General features: G+C 40.4%; 1 protein-coding gene and 1 pseudogene across 1 annotated transcript in view, besides 1 other annotated feature; one reads left to right on the top strand and one right to left on the bottom strand.

The window, feature by feature from the left end:
* MSH3 (mutS homolog 3) overlaps positions 1-13,531 on the bottom strand; it is a 222,164-nt gene that overhangs the window by 129,538 nt on the left and 79,095 nt on the right. Inside the window, exons 11-12 of the mRNA NM_002439.5 lie at positions 5,730-5,814; positions 2,663-2,772 (exon numbers count right to left, since the gene is read on the bottom strand). Of these exons, the coding sequence (NP_002430.3) occupies positions 2,663-2,772; positions 5,730-5,814 (195 nt within the window). The remainder of the gene's footprint in view (positions 1-2,662; positions 2,773-5,729; positions 5,815-13,531) is intronic.
* On the top strand, positions 435-941 carry LOC124901016 (S-phase kinase-associated protein 1-like; annotated as a pseudogene).
* Positions 2,153-2,341: a silencer, noted in NCBI's record as "fragment chr5:80040756-80040944 (GRCh37/hg19 assembly coordinates)". NCBI's record gives its function as "represses an EF-1alpha promoter that drives an FKBP-Casp9 reporter gene in an ReSE screen in K562 erythroleukemia cells {active_cell/tissue: K562}" and the evidence as "EXISTENCE:reporter gene assay evidence [ECO:0000049][PMID:32094911]".

The raw sequence follows: 13,531 nt of genomic DNA, 5'->3' as shown, positions 1-13,531 counted from the left end.
AATTTAACATTGGAAATGAAGAATTTTAATTTACATGGAAAAGTCTGCTAGTGAGTCTGTTTCTGCTGTAACATGTAAGCAAAAACACAGTAAGAATTGTAGTAGATGTTTAGGCAGCCTTTCCAGCAGCCACAATGCTGCATCCCTTACACTGTTGTCCACAGAAAGCCATCTTGTCTGCGTCTGCTCTACAAGGTCTGCTTATTTCATTAGAATGCTGAACTAAAGAAGATATTTCCATTTTCAGGATTTCTTCTTTACCTCATCAGTTTCCCATGTCTTAAGGTCTTTATGGCTAAGAAAAGAAATCGGAGTGACCCACTAAATCTGAAAAGATTTGGTAATTATCATCATCCAAACCATGTCTTGAGTGTCCTTGTCCTCTGCCTTCCTCTTCTTTGCTGATGTCGCCCTGCTCTCATGAGCCTCTGGCCAGTGGTCTCCTTAAGCTCAAACACCATGCCGTCAATTAAGATGCTGAGTTTTGATGCGGAGATATTTGATGTGGAAATTGCCAAACAATCTGTGACTATCAAGACCATGTTGGAAGATATGAGAATGGATGATGGAGATAACGACCCAGCTCCTCTACCAAAGTTAATGCAGCAATATTTTTAAAAGGTCATTTGGTGGTGTACCCACCACAAAAATGGCCGTCCTCCTCCCGAGGATGATGCGAACAAAGAAAACGAACAGAGGAGATCCCTCCTTAGGACCAACAATTCCTGAAAGTCGATCAAGGAATACTTTTTGTACTACTTCTGCCTGCAAACTACTTAGACATCAAAGGTTTGCTTGATGTTACACACAAGACTGTTGCCAATACAATCAAGGAGAAAAGTCCTGAGAAGATTCGCAAGACTTCCAATATCAAAAATGACTTTACTGAAGAAGAGGAAACCCAGGTATGCCAAGCGAACCAGCGGTGTGAACAGAAGTGAAACGTCCTTGACGCCGTCACACTGTAAGGATTGTTCCAAATACTAGCTGCCCTGCTCTGTTTAAAATTGTTAATATCAGACAAACAGCAGTGAAATGCAGTAGCAAATCAATCGTATGAGCAGAATATTGTCCTCAGTGAATGTGTGGTGTGAATACGGATTCCAAACCTATGGCTGAGTTTCTCATAGTATGATCAAGTTTCTTTTTTCTTTGCTCTGAATAAAACTGTACTGTGCGTTTTCTATAGAAGGTGGCATTTTGGGCTTTCCCTCTTTTTTGTAAAGTGATGTCTGCCTAGATTATTGTCCAGTTAACTTTAGTGACCTTTTAAAGTTGGCATTGTAAAAAAAAAAACTTGCAAAAGAAAAAGAAGAAAACAACAGCAAAACCCATAACAGTGTCTTCAAGCCTATGACCAACATTAACATCTGCAATCCATTATTGAAAATAGTGACTATTTATTAATCACAGAGTAACACAGGGCTAATAACAGCATCTGCTTAGTGAGGCTGCTGTGCAGTTTAAAAGAGACAATGCTCATAAAGCTCCTAGCATACTGTGTGGTGTGAGATAAAGAGCTCAAAATTTTATTCCTTACAGCAATGCTGTGATGAGGTGTTCCACCATGTCAAAGGTGAGAACACTGAGGATTAGTGGGAGTGACTCACTCAGCTGACAGAGCCAACACATAGCGGTTCTCTTCACCATCACACCATATTCACTCTGGTCTAGCCAGAGGTATAACTATTCAGGATAATGGCTTGTTCCTGCTAAGGTCTCTGGAGTCAATGCTGGTTTTAAATCTTATATTTATCTCTACCAGCTATGAAACACTAAGCAAGTTAGTGAAGCTCTCTGAATCTGTTTCCTCATTTCAAGAACCTATCTCAGAAGGTGATTTTGAGTATTAAACACCAGTAAATAGAAAGTGTGCAATAAATAACAATTTTCATTCAATAAACATTAACTGGGCTTCTACTAAGTGCCAGGCACTGTTCTAGGTCAGAATCTCCAAATTTATCTGCATATCAGAATCATCTGGGTAAAATTTAAATCTCAACTCCCTGGTCATGCTGGAGACCAATTAAATCACAATCTATGGGGGCTGGACACAGGCATGAGTATTTTGTGAAGCATCCCAGGTGATTCCGATGTGCAGACAACCTTGGAAATCACTGTATGTTAGGCACTGGATTCAAGTATCTTCCCTTAGGGAGCTCCAACTTTACTCACTCTACTCTTCTAAGCATTTCACACCTAACCCCTCTTTTGGACTCCTTGCTATTACTGCTGTAGCTCAGGTCCTGGGCACCTCTCCATGAACTTGCTAACTTGATCCCACCACTACTACCACTTAGTCCCCTCCTACACACAAGCCCAGCTCTGATGATATCAGCCCCATGCTCAGAATCACTGAATGAACTCCCTCTGGCTATCAACTCCTCAGTCTAGCCTTCAAAACCCTCCACAAAAGGCATCTATCCTCACTTTCCTGGGACAACGCCCTATGTCTGCCAATCTGCAGGCAGGCTCATTCACGAGAATGAGGAAAAAAATCCTTGTAATACTAGAGAGCCAGTCTATTGCTCAGTTCTAAAATAAAATGTTCTCCAATTTAAAACTGTGTTCTTAAAAACAATGGTAACCTTGGTTTTAAAATGCCTTTAATTTCAAAATTTTATAATTTCAGATTAAACACCCCAAAAAGAATTCCTTTTACCTTAATTTAAGGAGTGGCTGGGTCACCCACTTCTTTAACTTCCGTCTCCCAAATGAAGTTTTAGTGTGGTCTAAAACCCACAGCAAACTTCCTTTGGTTTTCATATCAGTCTAAGAAAGACCAGAAAACAAGTTTTATTAACTAGACAATTATTTGTGCCAAATTGTTATTTCATATACCCCGATTCTAAATGTCATATATACCTAGCACAATGTGGCTCATAACAGGTGTTCATTTAATGTTTGACAGATGAATACATACATACAGAATGAAGTACTGACATTTTACACAGAAAAGGGATCGTTTATAGTTTTTGGTTACCAAAGAATAAATTATTCAGAAATTCTTTTGAAATGATAAAGATGCTTTATCTAAGCATCTTTAAAATATAATTGCATACTTTCCTACCTTGGGAAATACAACATAGGAAGATGACTTAATTTTCCTTTGGTATTTCACAGTTACCATTTTATAAACCAATGCTCTCATGACAACACTGAACAAGGTGCTGGAGATAGACATGAACTTGCACTGCACTCTAGGTATTTACCCAGGAAGGATTTTATTTTAGTTTGTTTTACTAAATCCTTAGAAAAGTTTGCTTTTGCCACTTAAAATTTGGGTCCTTAAAAAAAAATCACAATTAACTAGACATAATTAATTTTAACCAAGGTTTCACAGTAGTACAAAGCCCACTGAGACATTTAAATCTTGAGACCTAAAATGGCTGTTTCCACTTGAGTTGGGTTTTTTTTTTTTTTTTTTTTTTTTTGAGACGGAGTCTCGCTCTGTCGCCCAGGCTGGAGTGCAGTGGCGCGATCTCGGCTCACTGCAAGCTCCGCCTCCCGGGTTCACGCCATTCTCCTGCCTCAGCCTCCCGAGTAGCTGGGACTACAGGCGCCCGCCACCACGCCCGGCTAATTTTTTGTATTTTTAGTAGAGACGGGGTTTCACCGTGTTAGCCAGGATGGTCTCGATCTCCTGACCTCGTGATCCGCCCGCCTCGGCCTCCCAAAGTGCTGGGATTACAGGCGTGAGCCACCGCGCCCGGCCGGGTTTTTTTAATCCTTTCTTTTTTCCTTCTCCTCTGTAAGTAGCTACTTCCAGAGTACCTCCTATGTGCTGAACATAGCAAGGACATGGTCCCACCCTCAGGGTGCTTATAGCCAAGTTGGAAAAAGACTCGTAATTAGGATACAATGCCACCTGCCAGGAATCAACTAGAAAAGGTGTGACATAAGCTCTCAGGCCTCAGGAGTTCAATGGAGAGAGCACAGAGAAGGTACAAGGTCACAAAGGTTCCTCTGAGGATGGCTGGACAGGCTAAGGAGGGCAGTTCAGATCAGCAGCAGCACTGCTCCTGAGACCACAGCTTGACTGGCCTGACTGGGGTAAAGGGTCCCGTGAGGAGGCCAATTCCCTGACACCCCTGGAGAAGCAGGCTCAGACAAGAGAGGAGGGACAGATACGTGTCCTATTATATCCTTGTTCTTGCTGACACCCAACTCCTACCCTGCACCTCTTTCCATTGCTCCTTGGAAAGGTGGGCGAGGGGCGGTGGGGGTGAAGTTGAAGTACAAAGACAAGCAGAAGATGTTAATCTCAGCTTCGGCTTCTAAAATGGTGCAAGGTCCAATAAAGGAAGGAATTTTGAAGGGTATTTTGATTCCAGATGATTTCTGCCTTAGGAATTTGATTTCAGAACTGACTCTGTTGTAGTAGGATTTGAACAGGGAAGATGCGGCAGAAGCAGGGAACGCTTACAATGCCAGGGCTGGCTGCAGGCTATCAGCACTCCTTCAGCCGAGAAATGTCTCTTTATTCCTACTACTTATTTCCTATCATGGAGATGGCTACAGAGTTGACGAGACAGACCGGCAGGACAGATTCTCAGCTTTTGGATGATGACAAGATAAAAATGTTACTGAACAAAAATACATCTGAATTCAGCATACTAGAACAGACTGGAACAGGAAGAAACTGAGAGAAACTAGTTAATAATATGCAGATTCAGGAGTCAGGAGAATAAATTCAGTGTTTACTTTAATTTGCAATAGTAATAAATATTTCTGAAGAGTTTTAACTCCTTTGACTCAGATGGTTCAGATGATTCTCCAGTACTTAATCAAATGACGTGGGGTTGCTTTTTATCTCTATTACTTTGTTAGGATAACATTAATTTTATAATATAATGTCTCATCTTCCCAAGTGATAATTTAATAAATGAAAGCAATAAGTTTAATCTCCCCGTTATCTTCCTAATTCATCAACAAAGGACAAATAAACAATGAAAGTTTGTGAACTGAGGCCAGGTGCGTTTGCTTACGCCTGTAATCCTAGGATTTTGGGAGGCCGAGGCAGGTGGATCACCTGAGGTCAACAGTTCGAGACCAGCCTGGCCAATATGGCGAAACCCTGTCTCTACTAAAAATACAAAAATTAGCCAGGCGTGGTGGCAGGTGCCTGTAATCCCAGCTACTTAGGAGGCTGAGGCAGGAGAATTGCTTGAACCTGGGAGGCAGAGGTTGCAGTGAGCCAATATCGCATCACTTCACTCAACCCAGCCTGGGCAACAGAGCGAGACTCTGTCTCAAAGAAGAAAAAAAAAAAAAGAAAGTTTGCAAACTGAAATGTTATGCATCTTACAGTCAAACTGAATATCCCAGAAACCTATAACCTGAATAATTAAATAAGACTGCAAACATTTCAAGAAAAAGCTAAAGGTGTATAGAAAAATATAACCAAGTAGACAAAAAAAATCCGCTTCATATTTTCAGTGATGATGCCTTTCCAAAAAACTACATGATATAGAAATGATGTTACAGAAATTGTCAGGATAAGCATGCCCCTCAGTCATTAAAAAGGGCAGCTCCATCATTCCCCCCAAAAAACCCAGAGAAATATTATGTACAGTTCATTCTCCAAAAAGAGCTACAGTTATCAATTAATACTGCAGTCAGCTAAAGACACTATATTTTCACCTGTACCTCTAAAAACAGACTGCTGCCTTACTCAGAAGTTTTTCCCAAAACGATTTATAATCAACTAGCCCTTGTATTTGCCTGACCTGATTCTGTAGGATTTCCAGATTCCTTAATGTTGTTCCATTAATTGTCATAAATTCCATTTTACTTGATAGCTGTTTAAAATTCCTGTAAAAGAATCAAATATAATTAGCCTAGATGTAAGTGCATAAAGAAATAAAAAACTAATTCAGGAACTAGAAACATGCCAGCTACATTATGGCAAAAATTAGCATTCTGATAGAAAATCAAACAAAAGGAGCAAAATGAAAATTCATCAGGCTGTTGTAGTCCATTAACGCTGGTGCTGTTAAGTAGATTGATGCAAGACAAAGATAGTTACTCTAACAAAAAAAAAACAAGAACAGGAAAGGGAAGTAATGGTAACAACATTTTGTTTTGGTTTTGCTCTAGGAATAGAACCAAACATGGTCTTTTATCATTAGCCAAGCACAGTAGCCACATCTTCATGAAAAGCTGTGTAATCAGCTAGAAAAATATGTCAAGATACTTAAAACTGTCCTCCTTATTCTTTAGCATGAGATCATCTTGATAAATACTTTTAATCAAGATTCTAGGCCAGGTGCAGTGGCTCACACCTGTAATCCCAGCACTTTGGGAGGCTGAGGCAGGCGGATCACCTGAGGTGAGGAGTTCGAAACCAGCCTGGCCAACACGGCAAAACCTCGTCTCTACTAAAAAACATAAAAATTAGCCAGGCATGGTGGCACGAACCTGTAGTCCCAGGTACTCGGGAGGCTGAAGCACAAGAATCACTTGAACCAGGGAGGCGGAGATTGCAGTGAGCTGAGATCACGCCACTGCACTCCAACCTGGGCAACAGAGTGAGACTACGCCTCGGCAAAAAAAAAAAAAAAAGATTCTAACATATGCAACAAGTGTTATTTACTCTGTAATTAACAACACACATGCGGCCAGGCACAGTGGCTCACGCCTGTAATCCCACCACTTTGGGAGGCCAAGGTGGGTGGATCACGAGGTCAAGAGATGGAGACCATCCTGGCCAACCAACATGATGAAACCCCGTCTCTACTAAAAATACAAAAATTAGATGGGTGTAGTGGCGCACGCCTGTAGTCCCAGCAACTCAGGAGGCTGAGGCAGGAGAATCGCTTGAACCCGGGAGGCGGAGGTTGCAGTGAGCCAAGATTGTGCCACTGCACTCCAGCCCGGGTGACAGAGTGTGACTCCGTCTCCAAAAAAAAAAAAAAGAGAAAAGAAAAAAAACACACATTACCATGGCCAAATTTAGTGGGTATAAAACACTGTTATTTCCTTAAACTGAGTTAAAGCATTCACACTCTCCTTATTGTCTCAGTATCTATCCAAAACAAAATTAGAAGTTCAATAAATTTCAAAAAGATTTGAGAATGAGCTACAGCATGACTAATAAATGTATGTACAATTCCAATTCGTGTTAAGAAGTACTAATCAATGCAGTACTAATGCAGTAATTCAATATCCTTTATCAGCCAGTCCTTAGATGTTTCTGTCAACAGCCCTTACAGGCTTGAGAGCTTATTTTTAAAGGCAAGGAAAATAACAGCAGGTCACTAAATTATTTAACAAAAGAAAGGCATAAGTGTTTGTGCTATAAACCTAACCACCCTTCTCATAGCTATAATGAAATTTAGGTAACATCCAGTTTCCCGAGTTAAGAAAACAAGCCCTCACCCAGAACTTTAGAGAACCTAATATCAGAGCCCGAAAAACCAGTACCCAAAAAGAGATTCCTTCACTTCTAGATGACTCCTTTGACTAAGGCCCCAAAGCCCTGGAAAAGAGAAATACTTTACCTCAAATTAGGAACGTTGCCTAGTAACTCAATGCTGTCCTTTGGTAGTGTAATGTATCTGTGACAGGTTTGATCTAGCTTCCAAAGAACGATAATCTGTTAATGATTTTCAGCGGGAAGCAACTCCAAAACTGAAAGGATAGCAAGTGTTCAGCCCTTTCTCTCCCTCTGGTAGCAGTTAACTTAATTTGTCTTGAATTACAGCAATTTATGTTGTGCCTCTACCCTCCTTAATAGATCTAAGCTCCCTGAAGGCAATCATTTTGTACCACCTGTACAGCTTAGCAGACAGTAGAGGGTCTACAAATATCTGCCATCTTCCTAGGGAAAACCAGGTTGGGTTTATATTTTTCCCTTTGAATCACAAAGCTCCAGAAATGTCTGTGAAATAGCCAGACAGTTATAAAATGTAAAACATTATTTACAGGAAGAAACAATTAGGCAGTGATTGGCTATGTAGCTGACAAGAGTTCACATGAATTCATGGTCAAAGATCTAAGTTGGAAGTTTGGCTGATAGCCTGGGCTCTGAGTTGGTATCTAACCAGTTACCTATGTGTTTAGATATGAGTCCTTACTTCCGCTGTTCTGACAATTAGGTTTAACTAAGTCCATCCTAGGGGTGACTAGTTAACATGTTAGTGCCCTAATCAGACGTCGACTCTAGAACGGTGCTTAGCTGGCATCTTTGTTTATTTGGGTTATAACAGAATACCTCAGAATGGGCAGTTTGTAAACAGAAGTTTATTGCTCAGAGTTCTGGAGGCTGTCAAGTCCAAAATCAAGGTGCCAGCAGATTTGGTGTCTAGTGAGGGCTCAGTCCCCATAGATGGCACCTTCTGTGTGTCTTCACATGGAGGAGGGACAAACAGTTCCTTTAAGTCTTTTCTATTAATATAAGGGCATTAATCCCATTTACAAACGATCTGCCCTCATAACCTAATCACTTAGTAAAAGGCCCCTTCTTAATATATCCACAGTAGTCATTAGGTTTCAACATGTGAATTTTGAAGGGCACAAACATCCAGGCCATAACAGTTGGCATGAGACTAATCAAGAAACCACAATCTAGCAGCCTTTCCTAAAAGCATCTCAGCTCACTGCCTTTATCTTCTGTCAACAACAGATGTGTAAGACATAATTTTTCACGGTGGTATGGCAGTTTGTGGGCTGTCCAGAAATACTGCCCAGTTGCCTCCTCCCTCATATGAACAGGGTATAATAATCCTATAAATCCAACAGTCCATACCCTAAGGGATGGTGTTTTAGGCTTCGGATTCTGAAAGCATCCCCTGTTCTACCAATTATCTCAGGGTTTGTTCCCTGACTCCAACTAAAAGTGAACTGTCCCTATTATAATGTTGCACATGCCTCAAGTGAACCACTGAAACAAGGTACTGTCGGAATACCAAAAAGACAGAATTGTAATTTCATAGAGCTAGAGAAGAGTTTACATGACTGTTTTTGTGCCTGCTTGCTAAAAAGTATCTAAATGAGTGGCAGAATTCAGTTTGAATTAACCCACTACCTGGTATACAGGGGGTGGGGTAGAAGGCTTACAGCCTTCATCTACATATAATTACCAAATATCTGCAATATCAAAAGGAAACCAGTAACTGTGAACAACCAAGCTGGTTTTTAAGTTAGCTCACAACCCCAGACCTTTAGAGAGCAAAGGTATAGGTTATTTTAATCAATGGTATTAACGTAAGTATTAATGTGTTGTGTGTGTGGTTTTTTATTTGGTTGGTTATGGGTGTTTTTGTCTTTTCTTTTTGCTGTGTGTGTTTTTGTTTTTTCTTTTTGTCCTTACTAAACAAGTAATCTAAAGTTCAAATCAGATGCACTAAGAGTTTTTTTAAACTGATATCTACATTGATTTTAATAAAAGATCAACCACTGGGCAATCTTAAATCAGATTGATTCCCATCTAGAATAATTATCAAGCAACTACAAGGACTAACCATGCTTCTGGAGTTCCCATATATTTCGTAAGTATTTATAAGTATAAATTTATACGTATTCTGGAGTTGGAGTCTTCCTTCCCAATAGAAATGCAATTTCCTTCTGTTAGCACCTATTTCCATTAGAATTATATATATTTTTGAACTAAGGGTTATATCTACCAGCATCCTAAGGTATCCAATAGTATCCGATCACTGACCTGAAACACTCAAGCAATTCTAAATTATTTACCATTGTAGAAGAAGACAAATTCTATGTGCTTTGAAATGAAACTCACCAACAACATCTGGCTAGAATTCATGCTTTGTGAACCTGCATAGAAATCTTATATATAACATGGGAAAATAGTTTTATCAATATTTCAGACACCAAAAATACAATAGATGCTTTTTTTCCCTCAATAGTGGGAGGGAAACATCTTTGTCAAAAGCTGGACAGAGAAATCAACTCCATATTACTCTAACCCTGCTTAAAAAAAAGACAGACAAAGGCAACAAGGGTACAGAACTTATTTAAATATCATTTTAAAATGGAAACAATGACAAAAACTACCATATAACACATGAAATCTATTGCTGAAAACATTTCTGTGTGTACAGCTTTCAGAGTTCATAAATTCATCACTTGTCTAACTTTTTGGCAGTTAATTTGATTTATAAAATATAAATTGTACTATATTACAAAACTTCAGGGTTGTAGATTCACTTATAATTGATCTGTAATTAAACAACATGACTAACTTTGCATTTCTAAATCCTGCCAATAAGCCCATTAGAAAGGCAAATAATGGGAAAGGTGTATGTTGAGTCTACAAGACCACTGCCAGGTTCAATGACTCATGGTATATACACAGGACTCGACATAGAGTAATACTAACAGCTATGACTTACTACAGTGAAAGAATGCAAAGCAAAATCAGGCAAAGGAAAAGGTGCCTGAGGCAAAGTCCAGGGGGAACCGGGCATCCAAGAATCCTCTCCAGGCGGAGTCACACAGGATGCACTTAAATTTCCCCAGCAATGAATTGTAACAACACGTGTGAAATGCTGTCCACCAGGGAACTCATTAGAGACTCAGCACCCATGGTTTCTATGCCGGACTGGTCCCATAGGCACCATCTCCCTACCATGTACCAAAATTCCAGCTCCAAGAAGGTAGGTGATCAGCATAAACCACACTGTGTGCACAAACAGTTAAGGCACAGTGAGCCACTCTCATCACGAAATGGTGAAAACTCTCCCGAAATTCAAGGTCCCAGACTCCAGTCAAGGGCCAAGCTTGCAGGAAGGCCTTTCTAAGGAAAGCTTTGTGATTAGGCCTGCTATGTTAATTTTTTGCACATCCCTCTTTTTAAATTCTACTCTAAAACTATATGTATTACATTTATTCGCTATTATGTTCTTTCAAGTTTACGCTTCAGTCCTAAATTGATCTTTTTCTTTATACTTCTGTCTTAAATCCTATCACCTCATTTCCAATCTTTCATACTTCTTAGTTATGTTCTTTCACATCTAGTATCATTTTCTTAGTGTCTTTTAGCTCATTTTAAAACAGTAGTTTTTCTTTTTTAGGGGGGTGGGTGGGTGAGGGACGGAGTCTCGCTCAGTCACCCAGGTTGGAGTGCAATGGCGCGATCTCGGCTCACTGCAACCTCCGCCTCCCAGTTTCAAGCAATTCTCCCGCCTCAGCCTCCTGAGTAGCTGGGATTACAGGCACCCGCCATCATGCCCAGCTAATTTTTTGTATTTTTGGAAAGATGGAATTTCACCATGTTGGCCAGGCTGGTCTTGAACTCCTGACCTCAGGTGATCTGCCCACCTCAGCCTCCCACAAGTGTTGGGATTACAGGCGTGAGCCACTGCGCCCAGCCAGATTGTCATTTTTATTTAATCTGTGACCATGATTTTCTGGCATGTATACATTATCTGTAATGACATCCTACTCCTTATTCTCTTTTTTCTCATAATAATTTTGTAAGAAATTTGAATTTGGTTCTTTTCCCATTGCTAATTTTTAAGTGAAGATTAATTTTCCTGAAGTTTTAGAACACGGGCAATTTTTAGGACAGTTTTTCTAACTTCATACATCTCGCTCTTCTGTTCTTTTTTGGTTTTGTTTTTTGGAGATGGAGTCTCGCTCTGTCGCCCAGGCTTGAGTGCAGTGGTACGATGTCGGCTCACTGCAACCTCCACCTCCTGGGTTCAAGCAATTCTCCTGCCTCAGCCTCCAGAGTGAGTGGCTGGGACTACAGGTGCCCGCCACCAGTGTGGCTGCTTTTTTTGTATTTTAGTAGAGATGGGGTTTCATCGTGTTACCCAGGCTGGTCTCGGACTCCTGATCTCAGGCAATCCGAAGGCCTTGACCTCCCAAAGCGCTGGGATTACAGGCGTTGAGCCACTGTGCTCAACTTTTTTTTTTTTTTTTTTTTTTTGAGATGAAGTCTCACTGTCACCGAGGCTGGAGTGCAGTGGCATGATCTTGGCTCACTGGAACCTCCGCCTCCTAGGTTCATGCCATTCTCCTGCCTCAGCCTCTCAAGTAGCTAGGATTACAGGCACCTGCCACCATGCCCGGCTAATTTTTGTATTTTCAGTAGAGACGGGGTTTCGCCATGTTGGCAAGGCTGGTCTCGAATTCCTGACCTCAGGTGATCTGCCCACCTCACCCTCCCAAAGTGCTGAGATTACAGGCATAAGCCACCACACCTGGCCGGTAATCATGTTTTAAACTTCATAGAATGTTTTTCTCCAGCCTCCCTCTTCTCTTCTTTCTGTGCAGTGTTCAATTGTGCCACCTGACCTCTGCTTTCATTCATAAAAAAGTAACTGCATGAGAAATGTCCTCCAATCATAAACAATAAGAAAACTGGACAAAACACATGAGGGGGAAAACTTCTCAGGTATTGGACAACACTTGGTGCAGAACCGTGACCCTGAGAGAGGAAAAACAAATGAGGTAAACAACATGACTGCCTCTTTGGTGGGCGCAGGGAAACTAGAATTTGTGAGACAGAATGCCAGATAACAGAGCTGCACATACAGCTCCAGAGATCTGCTGAAGGGTCACCTCAACTCTTGGCCAAGTACCAGTCCTCAAAGGCGTTTAGGGACCTCTGTGGGACCATGGAAATAACTACCAGAAAATAGTAGTGAACAGTGACCAGAGTTCACAAAGGGCTTGGAACACTCTCCAACCAGAGTAGAAATACCTCAAAATACATGAGGCATTGGTTATAAGCCTCAGAAGGATATTGCCTTAAGAACAGAATTAAAATAGACAGAGACAAAGATTTTTCAATCTCAGCACTACTGACATTTAAAAGATAAGTGTGTATGTGTCTATCAACTTTATTGATATAATTCACACACTATGCAATTCACCCACTTGGAGTGTGCAATTAAGTGGTATTTAGTATATTAAAATTGGCCAACCATCACCACCATGTAATTCTAGATACTATCACTCCAAAAAGAAACTCTATACTCATTAGCAATCACTCTCCATTCCCCCCAACAACCCAAGAGCCCTAGGCAACCACTAATCTACTTTCTCTCTATGGATTTGCCTATTCTGGACATTTCATATAAATGGAATCAGACAAAACGAGACTTTTTGTGACTGATGTCTTTCAACTACCATAATATTTTCAAGGTTCATCATGTTGCAACATGTATCTGTACTTCATTCCTTTTTATGGTTGAAAAATCTTCTATTGTATGCATATAACACATTTTAGGTATCCATTCTTCAGTTGATGGACATTAGAGTTGTTTCTACTTTTTGGCTATTGTGACTAATGCTCTTATGAACATTTGTATAAGTTTTTATGTGGACATCATATTTTCCTTGTCTTAAGTAACATCTAGTGGAATTGCTGGATCACACAGTGAATGTCATGAGGTACTACCAGACTGTTTTCCAAAATGGCTGTACCATTTTATAGTCCTATTGGCAATGTATGAGGATTTCAAGTTGTCTGCATCCCAGCCAACACCTTTTTTTTTCCTAGTTATAGCCATCCTAGTGAGTATGAAGTGTTATCTAACTGTGGCATTGATTTGAATTT

Source organism: Homo sapiens, chromosome 5, assembly GCF_000001405.40.
Source record: "Homo sapiens chromosome 5, GRCh38.p14 Primary Assembly".
Taxonomy (NCBI): Eukaryota; Metazoa; Chordata; class Mammalia; order Primates; family Hominidae; genus Homo; species Homo sapiens.
The sequence above is the reverse complement of the archived record's forward strand: the minus strand, read 5'-3'. Positions and strand labels throughout refer to the sequence as shown.